We start from the raw sequence: 21,144 nt of genomic DNA, 5'->3' as shown, positions 1-21,144 counted from the left end.
AATACAATGAGGATCCCTTTTCCCGGTCCCTCTATCCTCACTGTCCGGCCCTCCTGCCCACAACCCACACTTGGGAAATATGGCTGAATGAATTAGAAGAGCAGGGGAAGAAACTGAACATTAGTCGGGCAGAGGCAAAGAGCAAGAAGCAAGTGGGGTGGCTCACAGAGACAGCTCGATGAGACCTCCTACCTGGGGGCCAGGCTGGGGTGCTGAGGAGCCCCCTTCCCCTGCCTGGCTAGCAGGTCCTGGAAGCAGTGAAGGAAGAGACCAGCTGGGAGCCCCATGACAGGGCAGGGACCTGGGGGTTCTGCCTCCAGGAGAGCCAGGAGTGCAGGCCAGAAAAGCCCGTTAGGGAAAGGGAATCACCCATGATGTTGGTTTCCCTGGCTGCTGTAACAAATGACCACGAACTCGGTGGCTTAAAACAGCAGAAATCGGCCGGGCGCAGTGGCTCACGACTGTAATCCCAGACTTTGGGTGGCTGAGGCAGGTGGATCACCTGATGTCAGGCGTTTGAGACCAGCCTGCCCAACATGGCAAAACCCCATCTCTACTAAAAATACAAAAATTAGCTGTGTGTGGTGATGGGTGCCTGTAATCTCAGCTACTTGGGAGGCTGAGGCAGGAGAATTGCTTGAACCCGAGAGGCAGAGGTTGCAGTGAGCTGAGATTATCCCACTGCACTGCAGCCTGGGCGACAGAGCAAGACTCCATCTCAAAAAAAAAAAAAAAAGCAAAAAACAAAAAACAGCAGAGATCGATTCTCTTAGGGTGCTGGAGGCCACAGGTCTCAAGTCAAGGTGGGGGCCGGGGCCACACTCCCTCTGAAGCCTCTGGGAAGGATCCTTCCTCACCTCTGTCAGCCTTTGGTGGCCCCAGGAGTTCTTGGGCCAGGCCAGCGTCACTCCAGCCTCTGCCTCTGCGGTCACGTGGCCTTCTCTCTGTGTTGCTCTTGTCTCAAGTCTCTCTCTGTGTTTCTCTTCTAAGGACACGTGTCACTGGATTTAGGGCTCACCCTAAATCTGGGATGATCTCATCTTGAGATCCTCAGCTTAGTGACATCTGCAACAACTCTTTTCCAAAAACTTCACATGCACAGGTTCCTGGGCCTCATATCTCTGGGGGCCACCATTTAGCCCACTACCCTAGTGGACCAGGAGGAAGGAGCCAGGGAAGAGGCAGGGATCTGCCGCCCAGAGTCCCTTCCTCCTCCTCCTCTTGAGCCCTTTGGGAGCTGGGCCCTTCTGATCTGGGTGCCAGAGCAGACAGGCAGGGCCTGCCAGAGGAAGCATCCATCCCCAAGGACGAAGAGCATAGTAAGCAAACATGTGAACAGCGGGGTGAGTTCAGATGAGCAAGGACGGGGTTCCTGAGGTAGGGAGGGTCTCTTCTAGACGGGCCTCATCTGTTCCCCTCCATCACCCTCAGAGATGCACCTCATGACCCCATCTTACAGCCAAAGAGCTGGGCTCATCAACAAGCCGCCCACGGCCACGGGGCAAGGCAGGAGCCACAGGCTGACCCCAAAGTCCCAGCCTCTCCCACAGTCCCCACCATTAGAGAGAAGCAGAGAGGACACAGCAGGACAGGAAGACATCGCCCTGGCCCGGGCTCCCCACGGCCTCCCCGGTGGTCTCCAAGGTCACCTCCTACAGTCCAGGCTCCATCCAGCAAAGCTCTCTTCAGGAAAATTGACCTCGTCGGCCCCTGCTCAAACCTTCCGATGGCCCCACACCAGCAGCAGCTAACGGGGAAGGATGATGAGGGTGGCGAGGGCAGCTGGGATCTGAGGCGGGAAGAGCACAGGGGTGTGATCTAGGGGGACCAGTGACCAGAGACTTTTGCTCCCAGCTTCTTACCCTGGAGTGACATCTGGGCCAAGGGAGAAAGGGAGGGCCCAGGCGTCGGTGGCAGCTCGGGAGGTGAGATGGGACCCAGCCTCTGCCTCTCCTACCCTCTGGGGGCCTTGGGAGAGAAGAGCTCCTTGGAAGAGCCTCTTCCATTTCTCCTTGGTGACCGTGGAGCCAGCAAAGCAGTGTCTGAGGCTGCTTGGTTTTAGATTGGTCCCAAGAGACCCAGACGGGCTCCAATCTCCCTGGACTTGCTGTGCAACCACGAGCCAGCCTCTCACCCTCTCTGTGAAAGCTTGGTTACCTGCTGGCTTTGGGTTACCTGCTGTTCTTTCTGCTGAACCCAGTGGCCCCATGCACGACTCCCTAGGAGTTAGGATGAGGGTCCCAGGGAACAGAAAGCCCAGGGGGGCCAGCAGCCCCCACCCAGGCTGTTGCCTAGGCTGGTCTTGAACTCCGGGGTTCAAGTAATCCTCCTGCCTCAGCTTTCCGAGTAGCTGGGATGACAGTGTCATTTATTTTAAAATACAAATTTAAATTGTCAGCATGAATTTTACTATCCATCTTTATATTGTGCAATGCCAGTTTTTGCACACAAATAGAAGAGCATTGAATTCATAATGCAGAATCAGCAGAATTACACAATTGGTATTTCATAGTTCCTACATGCGTCTGTGGTGTGTGTTGTTCTTACCACAGCAGTGGAAACACTGCACAAAACTAACTCACCTGTTTTTATTTCACTTTTGTTTTTGTTTTTGTTTTTGAGACGGAGTCTCACTCTATCGCCTAGGCTGGAGTGCAGTGACACAATCTCGGCTCACCGTAACCTCCACCTCCCGAGTTCAAGCGATTCTCCTGCCTGAGCCTCCCGAGTAGCTGGGGCCACAGGTGCCCACCACCACACCTGGCTAGTTTTTGTATTTTTAGTGGAGACAGGGTATGGCCATGTTGGCCAGGCTGGTCTCCAACTCCTGACCTCAGATGATCTGCCCACCTTGGCCTCCCAAAGTGCTGGGATTACAGGCATGAGCCACCGCACCCCACCTTTATTTCACTTCTTGATTCTCCCAACACTCCGGGGAAGCCAGTGGCTTCCTTAACTCACTTACTTTGTATTCACATTGAATCTTGCTAGACTCCCACCCAACATGGATCCGCCAGACCACTGTGCCATGGACATGGAGAACGTTGTATGCGAGTCCAGTGGATGTCAGCTGTGGATAGGGTGCATGCTCCACTGTCCAGCTGGACTTCACTATAAGACACAAGTTCAAAGAAAAAATGATTACGCCTTCCAATGTGGGGACAGCAGAGCGTTAAACCAAGCACAGAGGCTTCTGAGCCCAGAGTCCTGTGCTACTGCCCAGCTGACACTCCTGTGTAGCGTCCCTGTCTCTGGACAACTGCCAGTGGGGAAAGAAAGCCTCAATCCAACAGCCAGACGGACATTGAATCCTGTCACCGAGGGAGTGAGCTTCAAAGTGGATTGTCCCCCAGTCAAGTCTCGAGATGACTGTAGCTTCTCGTTGACACCCTATGAGAGACCCTGAGCCAAAGGAACCAGCTAAGCCACGCCCAGATTCCTGGACCCACAGGAACTGAGTGATAATAAACGTGTGCTGTTTCAAGCAGCTAAGTTTTGGGATAAATTGTTTTGCAGCCAGAAATACCTAATACAGCTGGCATTCTTCTGTAAAGCAAAGCATTCCTTCCTCAAACCGGACAACTATTTGGCTGCTTTGAAATACAGTTTCTACTGGAAAGGCAGGATAGATGCTTGATTTTTTTGCCTCTCTGGGCCTGATACACACACACACACACACACACACACACACACACACACACATATATATATATACACACACACATATATACACATATATATATATACACATATATATATACACACATATATATACACACATATATATACACATATATATATATATATTTTTAAAGAGGTAGGATCTTGCTCTCTGGCTTGGGCTAGAATGCAGTGGCACAATCATGGCTCGCTGCAGCCTCAAACTCCTGGGCTCAAGCGATCCTCCTGCCTCAGCCTCCTGAGTAGCTTAGGACAACGGGTGCATGCCGCCACCTTCGGCTAATTTATTTTTCTTTCTTTCTTTCTTTCTTTTTTAGAAACTGAGTCTTGCTATGTTGCCCAGGCTGGTCTCAAACTCCTGAGCACAAGTGATCCTCCCACCTCAGCCTCCCTAAGTGCTGAGATTACCTGCCACTGGGCCTGGCCAAGAGTTTGGTTGAATAAATGCTTTGGTGGGGTCCCAAGAGTTTCTCTGGATTTCCCCAGTTTGAGTGTCTAATGAACAAATGACTTTTTTTTTTTTTTTTTTTTTAGACGGAGTCTCCCTCTGTCACCCAGGCTGGAGTGCAGTGGCGCAATCTTGGCTCACTGCAAGCTCCGCCTCCTGGGTTCACGCCATTCTCCTGCCTCAGGCTCCTGAGTAGCTGGGACTACAGGCACCCGCCACCACGCCCAGCTAATTTTTTTGTATTTTTAGTAGAGGCGGGGTTTCACCATGTTAGCCAGGAGGGTCTTGATCTCCTGACCTCGTGATCCACCCGCCTCGGAATCCCAAAGTGCTGGGATTACAGGCGTGAGTCACAGCACCCGGCCAATCGTTTTTCTTTCTGATGTTCAAATTGTTACAACTTGGCCAGTAGGAGTCCCTTCCAGCTGGCTCCTGTGTCCTTTTGACATGGCCCCATTAATCTTTTAAAGCTTCCTTGCTTTCTGCTGCGAACAACATGTGCCAGGCTCCTCATGCTCTTGCCCGGCCCTGGCCCTGGCCCTGGCCCTGGAGCCAGCCACTTCCCCAGGGTTCCTTGAGTGGCACCTGCCATTCAGACATGGAGATCTGGTTGCTAGGGATCATCACAGATTTGATTTACATCTCCCAAATTACTAGTGAGGTTGGATATCTTCTATATTCATTGACCATTTTTACTTATTCTTCTGTGAATTGTTCTTATCCTTTCTACCAAATTTCTATTAGATTTTTTTGTAATTTTTTTTTTTTTTGAGACGGAGTTTCGCTCTTATTGCCCAGGCTAAATGCAATGGCATGATCTCGGCTCACTGCAACCTCTGCCTCCTGGGTTCAAGCAATTCTCCTGCCTCAGCCTCCTGAGTAGCTGGGATTACAGGCACCCACCACCACACTCGGCTATTTTTTTTTTGTATTTTTAGTAGAACAGGATTTCACCATGTTGGCTAGGCTGGTCTTGAACTCCTGACCTCAGGTGATCCACCTGTCTCGGCCTCCCAAAGTGCTGGGATTATAGGCGTGAGCCACCACACCCGGCCTTATTTTGTAATTTTTTTAATTTTATTTTATTTTTTGAGACACGGTCTTGCTTAGTAGCCCAGGCTGGAATGCAGTGGCTCGATCTCAGCTCAATGCCACCTCCCCCTTCCTAATCCTCCCTCTCCCAATCCTCCCTCTCCCTGGTCCCTTTATTCTGGACTCAGGGCTGATGGCTCCAGGGCTCTGTCCTTGCCCCTCTTTTCTTCCCACACTCTTTTCTCAGTGAGCTCATCCAATCCCAAATTTAAATCCCAGCCCTGACATCTCTATCCTGATTCAGGCTGGAGCCTCCAGCTGCTTCCTGGACCCCTCACGCTTCGTGTGGACGAAGCGGAACCCCTGCCAAAGCCTCCTCTTCCCTGGCTATTTCCCCTCGAAAGTGGAGGCTCTGTTTGCCAATTTAAATAGGCAAGAAGCCCTGGAGTCCTCCTCAACTGTCCTCTCTTTCACCCCTCACATCCCATCCATCAGTAAATCACGTTAAACAGGGCGCGATGGCTCGAGCTTGTATTCCCAGCTACTAGAGAGGTGGAGGCAGGAGGATTGTTTAAGCCCAGGAGTTTGAGGCCAGCCTGGGCAACATAGTGAGACCCCATCACTATTACTTTTTTTAAAAGAGACTAGGGCTGGGCACGGTGGCTCACGCCTGTAATCCCAGCACTTTAGGAGGCTGAGGAAGGCGGATCACGAGGTCAGGAGATAGAGACCATCCTGGCTAACACAATGAAATCCCGTCTCTACTAAAAATACAAAAAATTAGCCGGGCGTGGTGGTGGGTACCTGTAGCCCCAGATACTCAGGAAGCTGAGGCAGGAGAATGGTGTGAACTGGGGAGGCAGAGCTTGCAGTGAACCGAGATCGTGCCATTGCACTCCAGCCTGGGCGACAGAGCAAGACTCTGTCTCAAAAAAAAAAAAAAAAAAAAAAAGACTAAATGAGGTCCTGTTTCTCCTCTCAAATCTCTCCATGAGAGAAGAAGGAGGTTGTGTACATGAGCGTGGACACCACAGAGGAGGGAGCTTGTCCAGAAGGGGCGTCAAGGAAAGTTCTGGAAAAGAGGTGCAGAGCAGCTCAAGGCTCCGTGAGGAAGGGAGACCATGTCAGCGGTGGAGACCCTGGAGGCAAGTGAGCAGAGACTGGGAGCTACAGAAAGCCAAATCTGTGATGGAGAACATACCAGGTAAGACCAGGGAAGTATGTTGGCACCAGGTTGTGGGGCTCTCGATGGCTGAGGAGCTCAGACTGTCTTTGGGAGGTGACCTAGAGCCACTGGAGATCCTGGAACAGGAGCAGTGGTGGCCACAGAGCTGGCAGCCTGTGCAGGGTGGACTAGGGAAGGCATGGAGGCCACCCCGGGCTTACGCCTGAAGCAACCAGGGCAGCGGAAGAAACGGAAGGAGATGTGTGGATGGGCTGGTAGGACTGTAGCTGGTTGCTGTGGAGCAGGGGCAGAGAGGACCTATGATCAAGAAGTTAAAACTGTCAGACGCAGTGGCTCACACCTGTAATCCCAGCACTTTGGGAGGCCAAGGCAGATGGATCACTTGAGCCTAATAGTTCAAGACCAGCCTGGGCAACATAGCAAAACCCCATCTCTACAAAAATATAAAAATTAGACGGGTTTTATTTTTTTGTAGAGATGGCATCTGGCCACGTTGCCCAGGCTGAGCTCAAACTCCTGGACTCAAGTGATCCTCCCGCCTCAGCCTCCCAAAATGCTGGGATTATAGATGTGGGCCACCTTGCCCAGCTGTTTGGCTTTTAACTTTGTCTACAGTGCCTTTTGTGGCACGGAAATTGGTGGCATTTATGTCAATCTGTCAATCTTCTGGTTTATGGCTTCTGGATGGCATGTCTTTCTAGGGTGGCCTCAGTATTCCAAAGTTAAGTAACTTGCTTAATCTCACAAGCTAATTAGTGATGAGCTGGGTGTACCTGAACATTTGCATGCCCCCGAGGCCAGCGCCCTTCCCCCGGGCCTCACTCTCCTCCCAGGGTGACTGAGGCCTCCAAGGTTGGGGAGGGAAGATACAGCAGTGATGGGCGCCTGAAAAATGAGCACAGCTGGGCTGAGCAGGTGACAGGGGCTCTGGAATAGCTTTCAAAGTCCATTCCCAAGGGCTAATGGGAATGACCGAGCCCTGGCTGAGACTAGGATGACCCAGTGGAGGGCTGACAGTGGGGTGAGAACACTGGTGAGGAGCAGCCTGCTGGGAGGGAGGTGGAGATGGATTTCAAGGGCACCATGGGGGAAGGAATAGCACCAGGAGGAGATAGCTGAAAAGTATCTCTGGGCCTAAGGAGTCTGACCACATCCGCCTCCTCCCCAGCACCCAGGAATGCCAGGCACCCTGGCTTCTCCCCTGGTGGCAGGCAGCTCCCAAGGTGCCTAAGGGTCTGGTGGCCCATGAACCCTTGGAGAGAGGTCACTCACTGGTGCCCTCCCCGGCATGTCGTAAAGGCAGGCAGGGTGGCAAGGAGAGGCGTTACAGAGGCTTTGGCATCTTGCTAACCACTGACGAGTCCTGTTGAGAGCGAGCCTGTGCCTCTGTGCCCTTAACCTTCAGGCTGGACTGCCAGGGTATCTGGTGAGAAAGCAGGTGGCGGGGAGCACTAAGACTGCGGCTTCCCCGGGTTCCCCTGACCACGTGGATTCCTTGGCGCGGTACCTCTTCTCGCCACCAGATGGCGATCCCGCATCATCAATCTCTGCGGCCAGGCGGGCAAGATCCTGTGGTTCCTTTCTCTGGGGCTCCCACCTGGGCCCACTCCCGCTGCCGACTCTCCCTGCTGGAGGCCTGGGGGTAAGGGGAGGTAAATCCAGAGCATATATGGAGAGGAAGTCTGGGGGCTTGTGTCAGCTAAATTCCGAAGAGAGGGGATGCCCTTCTCATCCCTCCCTCTACTCTGCTCCCCCAGCCACTCCCCTGCTCCCTCTCACCTGGCCTCCCCACCTTTGCCCAAACCCATCTGTCCTGAGCACAGCCAGAATGGCCCTTCCAAAAGATGGGAATGGTCCACCGGAATGGCTGGAAAGAGTATGGGTGTGGGGCCCAGCACCCAGCCCTGCTCTCTCTCACCACCTGTGCGTTCTTGGGCACAGTCCTACACTTCTCTGAACCTTGACAAGGAAGTCAGCATCCAGCATCCTCTCATTCAAAAGATTCACTGTTCCTTTTTTTTTTTTTTTTTTTTTTTTTGAGATGGAGTCTCACTCTGTCGCCCAGGGTGGAGTGCAGAGGCGCGATCTCAGCTCACTGCAGCCTCCACCTCCCAGGTTCAAGCGATTCTCCTGCCTCAGCCTCCCAAGTAGCTGGGATTACAGGCATGTGCGATCATGCCTGGCTAATTTTTGTATTTTTAGTAGAGATGGGGGTTCCATCATGTTGTCCAGGTGGGTCTCGAATTCCTGACCTCAAGTGATCCACCACCGGCTTGGCCTCCGAAAGTGCTGGGATTACAGGTGTGAGCCACCACACCCGGCCGCTCACGTTCTAAAAATGAAAAAAGCTAAACATAGACCCCTAATATTTTACTCCCGTGGACAAATACCAGGGCGTCCTTCAAAGGTGTGTTGTCGGAGCTTTTCTGAGTTTGCTAACTAATGGCTTCAAGACCCTCTGCCCTTTTCTTCCGAGGATCACAAAGTGAGTCTTGAGGGGGTCTCAGGGTGTGCAGTTCCCAGGGTGGGTCCCTCTCTGGGGCATGTTCTCCTGCCTTCCTCTAAGGCAGTACTCACTGAGGACCAACGCTTCTCAATGTCAAACTCTGTCGCTGGTCTTAATTCCACAGCAGCCTCAGTGTCCTCATCTGTAAAGCCTGACCTGCCTATCTGCAGAATTGTTGTCAAGATTTAAAAAATAAAATAGGCTGGGCGCAGTGGCTCATGCCTGTAAACCCAGCACTGTGGGAGGCCGAGGCGGGAAGATCGCTTGAGTCCAGGAGTTCAAGACCAGCCTGGGCAACATAGTGAGACCTCCATCTCTACAAACAATAAAGCAAAATTAGCTGAGTGTGGTGGCCTGTAGTCCCAGCTACTCAGGAGGTTGAGGTGGGAGGATCACTTGAGCCCAGGAGGTTGAGGCTACAGTGATTCCCATTGTACCACTGCACTCCAGCCTGGATGACAGAGCAAGATAACGGCCTCAAAAAATAATAATAGGCCGGGCACAGTGGCTCACACCTGTAATCCCAGTGCTTTGGGAGGCTGAAGTGGGCAGATCACGAGGTCAGGAGATCGAGACCATCCTGGCCAATATGGTGAAACCCCATCTCTACTAAAAATACAAAAAAAAAGGCCAGGCACAGTGGCTCATACTTGTAATCCCAGCACTTTGGGAGACAGAGGCAGGAGGATCACCTGAGGTTGGGAGTTCGAGACCAGCCTGACCAACATGGAGAAACCCCATCTCTACTAAAAATATACAAAATTAGCCAGGTGTGGTGGTGCATGCCTGTAATCCCAGCTACTTGGGAGGCTGAGGCAGGAGAATCGCTTGAACCCGAGAGGTGGAGGTTGTGGTGAGCCGAGATTGCGCCATTGCACTCCAGCCTGGGCAACAAGAGAGAAACTCTGTCTCAAAAAAAAAAAATTAGTTGGATGTGGTGGCGCATGCCTGTAATCCCAGCTGCTCGGGAAACTGAGACACGAGAATCACTTGAACCCAGAAGGCCGAGGTTGCAGTGAGTGGAGATTGCGCCACTGCACTCCAGCCTGGCGACAGAGCGAGACTGCGGTTCAAAAATAAATAAATAATAATAATAAATGAAATAGTGTCTGTGAAAGCATGTTTTAAAGGAGGGGACACAAGCAGAAAATATGAGGGTGCAATTTCCTAGTTGAAGAATGCCTCATGGGCTCCCCCTTGCTTACAGAAGAAAGTAAAAACCCTTATCCAGACACACAGCAGCCTCCACCCTGAGCCCCCGCTGCCTCCCCAGGCTTCTCCTGTCCTCCTCCTCACACAGCCTGCGATGTAGCCAAGCCATAGCACCAGAAGCTTCCCCACCACAGCCAGTTTCCCGGCTGTGTCTTCGTTCTTGTTCTTCCCACTAGAAATCCCTTTCCTTATCCCAATCTGTGAAGATCTTCCCTACACCTGTAGGTCCATAAAAATAAAAAAGCTTAGACGGTGTTTTTCACTTATTCTTTCTTTTTCTTTTCCTTTTTTTTTTTTTTTTTTTTTTGAGACAGAGTTTCCCTCTTATTGCTTAGGCTGGAGTGCAATGGTGCAATCTCAGCTCACTGCAACCTCTGCCTCCCGGGTTCAAGCGATTCTCCTGCCTCAGCCTCCCGAGTAGCTGGGATTACAGGCATGTGCCACCACGCCTGGCTAATTTTGTATTTTTAGTAGAGATGGGGTTTCTCCATGTTGGCCAGGCTGGTCTCGAACTCCCGACCTCAGGTGATCTGCCCGCCTCGGCCTCCCAAAATGCTGGTATTACAGGAGTGAGCCACTGCGCCCGGCCAACAGTGTTTTTCTTTAAGTTATAAAAGTAAAATATGTAAAGTGTAATCCCACCGATTTTGGAGGCCAAAGCAGGATCACTTGAATCCAGGAGTTTGAGGCCAGCCTGAGCGACGTAGTGAGGCCCCCCCCCACCGCCCACCACCATCTCTACAAAAAAAAAATTTAGTTAGCCAGAAAGGATGGCGTGCACCTATAGTCCCAGCTACTCAGGAGGCTGAAGTGGGAGGATCACTTGAGCCCCAGAGGTCGAGGCTGCAATAAGCCATGAGTATACTGTACTCCAGCCTGGGTGACACCAAAACCTTGTCTCAAAACAAAAACAAAGAGTTTAGACAGTGTTTCTCTTTAAGTTATGTAAGTAATATATGCACATGATACAAAATGAAAAGCAAGTGACTCTCTCCCCCTAAACCCCTGCAGGGTTACTCCACAGATATCCTTCCAGAAAGTTTGTATGGATCTACCAACATATATATGTCTGTTCTATTTAAATTTAGGTAAATAGGATTATACTAAACATGCAGCTTGCTTTTTTTTTTTTAACTTACTATAAGTTGGAGATAATTCCTTTCTCAGTACATGGATAGCTGCCTCGTTGCTTTTAACAGCTGTGTGACATTATCACAAGTTATACCCCTGGCCTATTTAACATTCTTCCCTCTCTGGCCTCACAGGTGCGTGTTGCTGCAGCCAAGGCTGTAATCAGCCTCCCTGCACCTATGTGGCCGGGCAGCACGCCATGTTTGCATGGGACAAATCCCTGACACCAGCTTAAGCACCACCATGAATCCCTCCCCTCCTGGGGACTCCTGCAGAGCTTCCAGTAGAGCTCCAGGAGAGAGAACCCAGCTCAGGCATTTGCAGCAGTGTTTGTTAGAGTCTAAAGTCAGATCATGACCGAGTTTAAACCCCAGCTGCTCCCCTCACATCTCCCTCTGCCTCAGTTTTCTCATCCCTAAAATGGGGATGATCATAATGGTACCCACTTCATAGACCTGTACTGCGGATTATACAGACTAAAGCACTTTGGAATGGCTAGCTGCTCTCACCCTTCCTGTTACAGTATTGAGTTCCAACGTCTCCCTGTAGAATGCTGGCACTTCGTGGGCAGGCCCTGGTTTTGTTCCTCTCTGCACATAACCCCAGGATGTGCTGGTTGCACAATAAATGGTCCCTTACATTTGTTACTAGGAGCAACCCCCACCCCAGCTTTGGCCCACTCCCCCTCCTTCCAGCCTGTGCCCTCCTCATGGCCCCAGAGCTGGGGAGGAGAGATGCATCTCTCAGGATAATCTCCAGCAGCCAGGTGCTCCCCACCTCCACCCAGGTCAGCAATAAACACCAGAGTCCTTGGGTTGGGGGGCAGGGTGGCTCAGGAGCTCTCTAAGGGCCAGAGGTTTTGCCTTGGCCCTGACAACCCCACCCCCACCCCTCCAAGCCTGAGTCTCTTCAAACTCTGCTCCTCCTGGCCTAGCCAGGCCTCCTGGAGAGGGACGGCGAGATGATAAGCGCTGGGGCTGAGAACGGGGCATCCAGACCTTGGAGTTCGGTCCTAGCTGCCCTGGCCAAGGTTTTGTTTGTCTAGTCCCAAGAGGCAGGCCCTTGGAGTCCAGGGAAGAGAGAAGGAACCACCTGGGCAGACAGACCCAAGCCAAGGGGCCAGGTGTCGCCAGCGTCCCCAATCTCCAGTCTGGCTCTGGCCCGCATGGCAGCTGGAAGGGCCAGAGCTGGGTGGGTTCTGTCAATGCTTCTACGGGGTGTGTAGGGGGTTGGCAGGAGTCACAAATGTTGGCCTTAGCTGCAGGGCAAATGCAGATAGGACCTCCACGGAGTGCCTGTTCCCAACCCAAGGGCACAGCAGAGCTAGGAGAGAGGCCTCAGGGTCCAGGAGGGAGAGGAGGTGTTCAGGCCCAGCTTCCCGGAGAGAGTGTGACTACAGACTAAAAGGGTCAAGGGAACAGGCCCACTTGGCCTGAGGATGAGGGCGCTGGAAGAAGGGGATGGGAGATTGGGTGCTTTTTCTTGATGGGGAGGGGCGACTTGAAGACGGCAATCAAGACCTAGATGACGTGTTTGGTCTGGGGTGGAGTGAGGACGCCAAGAGGGAAAGGACGGCGCCCTGAAGAGACCAGCTCAGGCGAAAACAGGGCTCTGCCCAGGCGGGGACCCAGCTGGGTGGAGGGCGGAGGCAGGAACCCAGGAAGCCGACTGAGCAAAGACTGCGTCCAGGCCCCGCCCCCATGAGCCCGGCCACGCCCCCTGGAGCCCAGCCCCGCCTCCCGGCCGCCCGCGCGCAGGTAGGGAAGAGGCGGAGCGCCGCCGCCCCGCCCCCGAGGAGCCACCGCCCAGCCGCTCGCAGGCGCCGCACGGAGTTGCGTCCCGGGGACTTGGGGCCGCAGGGAGGTGAGCGCGGGGCGACGAGCGGGGCAGGACTCACGGCCGCCCAGCCGCAGGCGCCGGAAGGGTCCCGAGGTTGTGCCCGAGCCTGCCCTGGAGCGGTGGTGCGCGGCCAGGAAGGGTGCCCAGTGCCCGGTGCCCGCCCTGCGGAGCGCCTGGGTCCCACGTGGGCTCGGCTGGAGGCCCGGGCTGGCTCAGACGGCGCCGGCGGGGCCGCTGGACCCGGTCTGCTGGCCCCTAGGGCTCGGCTCGGACAGGACGCCTAAGGGGTCCCTGGGCGACGGGGCGCCAGATGTAGGGGCAAGACGATTGGGCAGAGATTTAAACCTCCGGAGGAAGAGAGGAGACTGCGCAGGGCAGTCCCGCCTGCGTCCCAGAAGTGCCTGCAGTTCAGACCCTTCTCTCCCCTCCACTTTCTCCCGGGTGAGCACCGGGCGGACCGGGGCCGAAGTTTGTTGGTTGAGCCAGCCAAGGTGGAAACAGGTGCGGGGGTGGGGATGAGGGACTCACACAGCAGGGCTGGACCGGAGCTCAGAAATTGGACCCAGGAGTCCTGACTTCTGGATGGAGGGGCTGGGGAAGGTTGGCCCTGGGCTTGCCTTTTACCTGTTTGGCCCCTCGGATGTTCCCCCAGGGCATTGGGATAGAGACGGATAAGTTCCCTAGGGTACAGACCCCGCCCCACTCCCACGCCAGGGCGCAAAGGAAGCCTAGGTTTTGGCCCTGCCCCATTCCATGAAAGATTAACGGAGGGGGCTCTAGGGTTGGAGCTACTGAGAGGGTGGCAGCGGGTGTGTCTGAGGAGCAGAAGGCGGTGGGGAGCTGACCCCACTTGGGGAGAGGCTGCTGTTGCCTGGGCGGCTGGCATCAGGCCCCCAGTGTGTGCCATTTGCTGGTAATATAATGAGACCAGCATCTGCCTTATTCGACCCTCACTGTCCGTAGGGCAGGCAGTGGAAAGGGAGGCGTGTTTTAGAGCTGTGGTTCTCAACCAGGGGCGACTTTGCCTGCCATGGGATATTTGGCAATGTTGGAGTCATTTTGGGTGTCACACACTTGGGAGGGGAAGTGAGTGTTGTTGTTACTGGCAGGTAGTGGGTAGAGGCCAGGGACGCTACCAGACATCTTCAGGGCACGGAACAGCCCACATAACGAGGAATTATCCAGCCCAAGGTGTTGGGCTGTGCTGAGGCTGAGAAACCCTGCGCAGCAGCTGGTCCATCAGGTTCCTTCTCAATGATGCTCCCTCACTGGGGAAACTACCTCAGTTTTCCAGAGTGGTTAGGGGAGGAACTTGGAATAAACCTGAATGAGATGAGGGGTAAGGCAGTGTGAGGGCACTTATTCCCCTCACAAGAGTCTTCCTTTGGTGCCATGAGACACCGCCTTTCCCAATCTCCACTGGCCCTGCAGGAAGCTGGTCTAGGTGCTGTGGGGGAGAGGTTGGGAACAGAGGACCCCCTTGCAGCCCAGGCCTGGGGTGCTTAACCCCAGGGCAATCTCCCAGGAAGGCTGGGCTGAGGCAGCCCTTGAGCTCAAATATCCCTGGGCTGGGAGGGTGGGCAGAGGGCGAGCTCTCTTCCCATAGATTTTCCCAAAGCTGGATTGCTGAAGCTGGCATGGTTGCCTGATACCATGTGACCTGCTGGAATTTTCCCTTCTGAACTCACACCTAACTCCTCCAATTATGTACACCTTTTGAAAGTGACATCCAAGGAGTATCAGGGCTCCTAATTCCTGGGGGGTCCCCAGGCTGCTTTTGTCCTGCAATAAAGAGGGCACCCTGGGTTAGCTGACGAGCCCTGGAGTGGGCCCAGCTGCTGATGGGGTGGAGGCACCCCTGCCCATGGTGTTAGCTGAGCAGAGGTGAGAGATGGGAGACATCAAAGCACAGGCCAGGTGGCCCCCCAGTAGGGATGACTCAGAGTTGTTTGTATTGGGCTGGAGGAATGTACTTCCAGTTTTCTGGCAACAAGGAGGGGTGGCTGGCACGGTGGGAGAGGATCGGATGAAGCAGCCACGTCCATGCCCAGGAGCTGGGGCCACCTCGCTGCCCTCCCTCCCTGTTTTCTTGCAGTAGCCATTATACCCATCCTGTTCACTTCTGGACCCAGCCTTCTTGCCTGGGAACCCTGGTGGAGGTTTCGAGCTTGGGTTCTTTTTGTTGGTGTTGGTGGCTTTTGTTTTTTTTGTTTTGTTTTGTTTTTGTTTTTGTTTTTTTGGTCTCTTGACTGTAAAAGGCTGAAGTGAAACTCCCACCTTTTCATTTGCACAAAAAACAAAAGTGGCCTCCATTGCTGTGAGCCTCTCAAGGGACAGGGCTGAGCACCCAGGCTTGTACAAAGTTGTTCAGGAAGTCGGCAGTGGAGCTCGGGTGTGAACCCAGTTGCCCACCCTCAGGCCCCACCCAAGAGCCCCACGAACAAACCCTCAGTGACTCCTACCTGTCTGTACCTGGTGTAACCACACACACACACAGACACACACAAACAGACACACAGAGACACACACAAACACACAGACACACACAGACTCACACACACACACACACACACACACACACACACACTCTCTTTCTCTCCAGCCCAGGAGGGGGACTTTTGTTCCTATAAGAGGAGGAATAAATCACACTACAAATGCTTTGGGTGACGCACTTGGGGCCCGAGTCCTGCTCTGGGGTCAGTGGTGCTGTTTTTCCTGTGGCCTCAGCTCTGGATACTGTGGTGGCCTCTCCACCAAGGTTTCTGTCCTTGCTGTGTAAACTCTGCCCCAGACAAGGTGACAGATGACAGCAGAAGTCAAGGAGCTGTGCACGCCTGCCCGTGAGTGTGCGAGTGGCATGGCTCAGCTGGCTGGTGCTTCCCTTTGGGCCTGGCCCCCGCCTGCCGCTGGCACAGCACAGGGAAGACGTGTGCCCTCCTGGCTGCCTCTCCCCCTCCACACTCTCCTCAGATCTCTGTGCCTCGCACTCTGGAGCAGGCCTCGGCGCTGCCCCATCTGCCCCAGGGGATTTCCAGAGTGAGCTCAGGCATCTGCACCGGCTGTGGAAGCGCTGGCTGTCGGAAGCGGCTCCCAGTTTCCTATCCAGCTGAGCCAGGCTGGGGGAGGAGTGGCGGGGACGTCTGCGCCTGCCCAAGTACAGGCTGACCTCGGCGGTGGTGGTGGCTAGGCAGGGACAGCTCTCAGGGCACGGGCGGCTTCACAGGGAAACCAAGCCTGCCCGGAACGTCGTTTTGCCTCCCAGGAGACCTAGGATGGGTGTAAGGAAAAACACATCTTCCGGGAAGTACAAAGCGCCACCGTGTCCACGGCCCCTCCTTCAGCAAATGTATCCGGGCGCCCAGCTGGGAGTTGTTTGTGGTCCAAAAGCTACTGGAAGGCAGTTCCAGCCCCAGTGCCCGGCTCCTGCAGGAAAGTGGTTTCAGCCAAGTGGGCAGTGCAGGAGGTGGGCCAGAGACACTGTTTGGAGTGTGAGGGGAACCTTGTGACCAGCAGAAAAGGATGGAGGAGGATTCCAAACTTCAGGAGCTGGGCCAAGGTCCAGGGGCTGCTGGGCACAGTCGTCCATGTGTGTGCTCAGTAGGATGAGTTCACTTAATTAGTCTGTGCCTCAGTTTCCCCAGCTGCACAGTGGGCTCACTAACAGTAATCTACCTGGAGGGTTGTGTGAGGTGAGGACTCCCGTGGTAAAGGTGTGCAGCCTGCAGTGCAGTGCCCGGCCATGGCAGGAGCAGTGCGGGGAGCCATCGTGATAATGGTGTTAGGGTGGCTTCAGGTAGGGGCGTGGCTGCCGGTCCATGGCACAGACTTGGGAGATGGCCGAGGCCCTGCCTCGTGGGCTGTCAAGGACTAGATGGGAACACGCATATGGAGCAGTGGCACTGTTGTTATTGTTATTCTGTAGGAGTGGCTGTGTCTGGGGTAGGGGGACCTCAGTGCCTTGCTGGCCAAGGGAAGTGAGGGTGGGTTTCCATCTGGGCATGAACTGCTGACCTCTGCCCAGGGGTTTTCCTGGCCTGCCAGTGTGTGTGTGTCACTGACAGTGGGGTGGGGGGCAGCTCATGGAGTTGGTGCCCCTCAGCTGTGCTTTCCCTGGCGTAGGTTCCTGGGGCTGGGAGCAGGGTAAAGCTGCCTCAAGTCTTGGTTTTCTCCTCTGCCTCCCCCGTGTGGCCGCCAACCCTGTGCCAGCAGGTGGTGCAGGGATGGCTTCCTGCCCCGGTCTCTGGCAAGAAACCCTTTTCCCTCTCCCAGTGGGTCTCCCCAGGTTGTCAGCTCCATTTAGTCATAAGAAGATCTGGGGCCAGGCGCGGTGGCTCACGCCTGTAATCCCAGCACTTTGGGAGGCTGAAGCAGGCAGTCACAAGGTCAGGAGATCGGGACCATCCTGGCTAATACGGTGAAACCCCGTCTCTACTAAAAATACAAAAAAATTAGCCAGGTGTGGTGGCATGCACCTGTAGTCCCAGCTACTCAGGAGGCTGAGGCAGGAGAATCGCTTGAACCCAGAAGGCAGAGCTTACAGTGAGCCGAGATCACCCTACTGCACTCCAGCCTGGGCAGCAGAGCGAGACTCCGTCTCAAAAAATAAAAGAAAAAAAAAAGAGATCTGGAAGAGGAGGGTTGAGGATCTGCTGTGGGGTTTGGAGTGGGAACAGGACTTTGAACCCTGGCCTAAGCCCCTTTTGACCTTGCCAGCCCGTGAGGATGATGACAGCCGCCTCTCACCCTTAGCCTCAACTAAATGAGATCATGTCTGTAAAAGTCCTTTGCAAGCTGAGCAGTGCTGCCCAGGCAGTTAGGTGCTGTCCCTTCTTCATGAATCAAAGGCCTTTGCATGCAGGACTCACTCCAGCACCCCAAACACTCAGAGTCCTCACCCGTTCTTTTTCTCCTGCCCCTCACCAGTTCCAGGGTGGCAAGAGGCTGCAGAGTGTGGAGGTTAAGAGCGCGGGACCCTGGCTGGGGTTGTAGCCCCACCACCTCCCTAACTGTGGGACCTTGGACAGGTGACTTCATCTCTCTGAGCCTCAGTTTCCCCACCTGTCGAATAGAGATCTGTCCCCTGTGGGGCTCGTGGCTCAGATAGAGACTAAGTGAGCGATGGTGGCAGAGCTCAGCCAGGAATAAAAGAAACTTCCAACTGGGCGTTGGGTGTGTGCCAGGCACTGTACATTCATATCTGCTGTCATCTTCCCTGGCTCCCTCCGTGGTGGGGCATCAACCCATCTCACAGCAGAGGAGGCAGGCTCTGCAGCACCCACTTGCCCAAAGTCTCCCAGCAGGTAGGTGGCCCAGGCAGGTTTGAGTCCCATCTCTGGCCCCTTATTCCTCCTCATTCCTCAGCAAGAGAGCTCCACGCTGCCCCGAAGCAAGGTGTGGGCCATAAGCACGTGGCTTTGCAGGCCTGCTTGGGACAAGCAACCTGGTGTCCCCGTGTCCTGAAACCCTGGCAGTCACTGGGGCTAGGGCCAGCCTCTTCCCTGGGAAGCAGGGAGCCCCAGGGCAACGTTCTGGGAAATCAGGTTTATTAGTTCCTTAATGACCGTTTACAAGCTCAGAAGTGTCTGCCTGGCATTTTCCCTCCCTGCTGAGGGGCTCCATGCAGCCGGAGGCAGAACTGGGCCTCCAGAAGCGCTCTGAGTGTGTCGAGGTGAGGGCCCAGGGATGCCGTCGGCTCCCTGGGCTCTGCATGCTCACACCCAGCCAGTCCAGGCCTATTTCTGGCTGGGTGGCACTGGGCAAGGTGCTTACCTCTCTGTACAATAGGTGAGACCTTGTACCTCAGCTGAGCTGTTCCTGGGGTGAGCCCTCGTTCATGGTGACAAAGTCACATAGATCTTAGACCCTGGGAGGATACTAGCATCTTATGCATACACAAACTGAGGCTCAGAGATGTTAAGTGGCTTGCCCAAGATCGCACAGTGGTTAGAGATGGGCCTGTGACCCTGTCTTCTGCCATCGGGACAGATTTTCACTGTCTGGAGGCAGGTGGAAACCGGGTGGGCTCCTACTTTGTAAGCACAGGACAGTGCCCTGTCTGTGTACATGGGACAGTCACAAACGGAAATGGCCTGGTCACACCTTAGTGTCAAGGAGCCTCCAGCAGGAGTGAAACGGACCTCTCACACAGACCCCAGGCTGCATCTCATCCTGCCCCAACCGCTGGGCTTGTGCTGGACCACCACTGCTTCCAAGGACCCGTGAAAACCCGGCTGCCGGGATGCAGAGAGGCAGACTTTCATGAACGTTTGCAGCAAAGGGCAGTTCCCACCGAGCCTGTGTTGCTGTGGCACTGTGTGGTGCACACCCCACCCCGGAAACCCTCCAGTGTCCTGGTGTCTGACCCCAAATGGACAGGGCCTTTTGGCCCCCAGGGGCCACTTCTGACTCCTCCCCTTCACAACGATGCTGAGGGAGCAGGAGAACTGGGGCCCGGCTGCTGTGCGTGCCCCCTTCCCTTCATTGCCCCAAAGCCTGCAGTCCAGCCCCAGGCTCGGGAGCTGCTGCCTCTTCCCTGGGATGTGGAAGGCACCTGCATCCCCGCCCAGCTGCTGCCACTTGCCTGCCTCCATCAGCAGCTTTGTTTTATTTTGTCTGTGTGTTTTTTGAGATGGAGTCTTGCTCTGTCGCCCAGGCTGGAGTGCAGTGGCGTGATCTCGGCTCACTTCAACCTCCGCCTCCCAGGTTCAAGCGATTCTTCTGCCTCAGCCTCCTCAGTAGCTGGGATTACAGGCACCCGCCACCATGCCTGGCTAATTTTTGTATTTTTAGTAGAGATGGGGTTTCACCATGTTGGCCAGGCTAGTCTAGAACTCCTGACCTCAGGTGATCTGCCCACCTCAGCCTCCCAAAGTGCTGGGATTACAGGTGTGAGCCACTGTGCCCAGCCTCCACCAGCAGCTTTTGAAATCCAGAAATTTCCAGGGGAGGGCACTGTGGTGGGTGGGGCCCAGCGCTGTGTCCAGCTCGAGGCCTGGCTGCACTGCCACCTCCTTTGGTGCCCACCCCTGTGTCTTGCCAGCAGCTGCTGCACATTGGGCTTCGGGGATGCAGGACTCCAGCACCCCCAGCTCAGCCTGCTTCCTGGACCAGGAACCCCAGCCGAGGAGGGGGCATTTGTATCTCTGCCATCCCTGCTGGCAACTGGTCCTGAGAAAGCCCAGATGGTTGGTGCAGAGGGGGCGTCAGGGGCTGCACCACCCTAAGAACATGACATGTCACCCCCCAGCCCCCCGCAACACACACACACAGGTTCACACCTCACACCCCTGATCTTGGCGGCTCCCTGGAGCACAGCACCCGCTTCCCGTGTCTGTGGTTGGCTTATGACGCCCCAGCCACTCTAACCGGGTTAAGGGGAGCCCAGAGCCTGGGGCCGGATAGGAAAAAGCCCAGAGAAGTCAGGGGATGGTCAGTCCCCTGAAGCTGCCCCTGGGGGTTCTTGATCTTCTGAACTGAGTTCGAGGCAAGCCCTGGAGGGGCGAGGAGGAGAAAGAAACAGCTCTCTGGGCCAGGACCCGCTGTTCGTGGGATGTCTGGGGAGCTGTGTGAACCCACAGGCCGTTTTGTTTCTCTCCATCAGCAGCTGTGGGCTGAAGCGTGTACCGGCGGAGTGGGTTGAGATCGTGTCTGCGCCCACTTGCCACCAGCTCCGGCCTCTGGGGAGGTGGTGCTGAGAGGGAGGGAGAGTGGCTCCTGTTTGGCTCCTGGAGACAGACAGCTGGGTGTCCCACCCTCAGAGTCCCCAGCCCCCTCTCCCCTCTGCTAACTCTGCCGGTGGAGCTCACGCCGCAGCTCATGCCAACCCTGCCCTTCTGTTTTGCCTCTCATGACTCTCCCCAAATTCTGCCCCCAGGCCCCCAGCCAGCCTTCTTGCCACTTTCCTGCCCTTTACTCTTGCCCCTTCTACCTCTTGCCAGGGCAGCGTCACTGGCTACGTGAGGCCCAGCTTGGGGATGCATGGGGAGGTGTAAGAACAGCTGTGCCATGAGCTGTCCTTCCGGGCCTCTGGGGCTGGAGAAACCCCGGGGTCAGCAGTACCACGGGTTTTGCTGGGGATTGCACAGTGGGTGAGGCTCAGCTTCCTCTTTG

At 54.9% G+C, this 21,144-nt stretch overlaps 1 protein-coding gene across 21 annotated transcripts in view, besides 6 other annotated features; it reads left to right on the top strand.

Annotated features, from left to right (window-relative positions):
- Positions 981–1,583: an enhancer, noted in NCBI's record as "H3K27ac-H3K4me1 hESC enhancer chr17:74508911-74509513 (GRCh37/hg19 assembly coordinates)". NCBI's record gives its function as "activates a minimal SCP1, AML or CMV promoter by ChIP-STARR-seq in primed H9 embryonic stem cells {active_cell/tissue: H9 hESC(primed)}" and the evidence as "EXISTENCE:reporter gene assay evidence [ECO:0000049][PMID:30033119]".
- Positions 3,966–4,176: a silencer, noted in NCBI's record as "fragment chr17:74506318-74506528 (GRCh37/hg19 assembly coordinates)". NCBI's record gives its function as "represses an EF-1alpha promoter that drives an FKBP-Casp9 reporter gene in an ReSE screen in K562 erythroleukemia cells {active_cell/tissue: K562}" and the evidence as "EXISTENCE:reporter gene assay evidence [ECO:0000049][PMID:32094911]".
- Positions 12,572–12,711: an enhancer, noted in NCBI's record as "active region_12809". NCBI's record gives its function as "activates an Ori minimal core promoter by ATAC-STARR-seq in GM12878 lymphoblastoid cells {active_cell/tissue: GM12878}" and the evidence as "EXISTENCE:reporter gene assay evidence [ECO:0000049][PMID:35858748]".
- Positions 12,762–13,401: a silencer, noted in NCBI's record as "silent region_9021". NCBI's record gives its function as "represses an Ori minimal core promoter by ATAC-STARR-seq in GM12878 lymphoblastoid cells {active_cell/tissue: GM12878}" and the evidence as "EXISTENCE:reporter gene assay evidence [ECO:0000049][PMID:35858748]".
- Positions 12,762–13,731: a biological region, named in NCBI's record as "H3K27ac-H3K4me1 hESC enhancer GRCh37_chr17:74496763-74497432".
- Positions 12,985–21,144, top strand: part of RHBDF2 (rhomboid 5 homolog 2) — a 30,535-nt gene continuing 22,375 nt past the window's right edge. For 9 of the 21 annotated variants that reach the window (NR_164785.1, NR_164787.1, XM_047436752.1 and 6 more), the window contains exon 1: positions 12,989–13,476. The gene's annotated coding sequence lies outside the window, so the exon portion shown is untranslated. Of the gene's footprint in view, positions 13,537–21,144 lie in introns of all 21 variants that reach the window. The other 12 variants (XM_011525251.3, XM_047436744.1, NM_024599.5 and 9 more) reach the window with 3 other exon arrangements.
- Positions 13,062–13,731: an enhancer, noted in NCBI's record as "H3K27ac-H3K4me1 hESC enhancer chr17:74496763-74497432 (GRCh37/hg19 assembly coordinates)". NCBI's record gives its function as "activates a minimal SCP1, AML or CMV promoter by ChIP-STARR-seq in naive H9 embryonic stem cells {active_cell/tissue: H9 hESC(naive)}" and the evidence as "EXISTENCE:reporter gene assay evidence [ECO:0000049][PMID:30033119]".

This window comes from Homo sapiens, chromosome 17 (genome assembly GCF_000001405.40).
Source record: "Homo sapiens chromosome 17, GRCh38.p14 Primary Assembly".
Classification (NCBI taxonomy): domain Eukaryota; kingdom Metazoa; phylum Chordata; class Mammalia; order Primates; family Hominidae; genus Homo; species Homo sapiens.
This window is presented reverse-complemented; position numbering and strand designations above follow the sequence as displayed.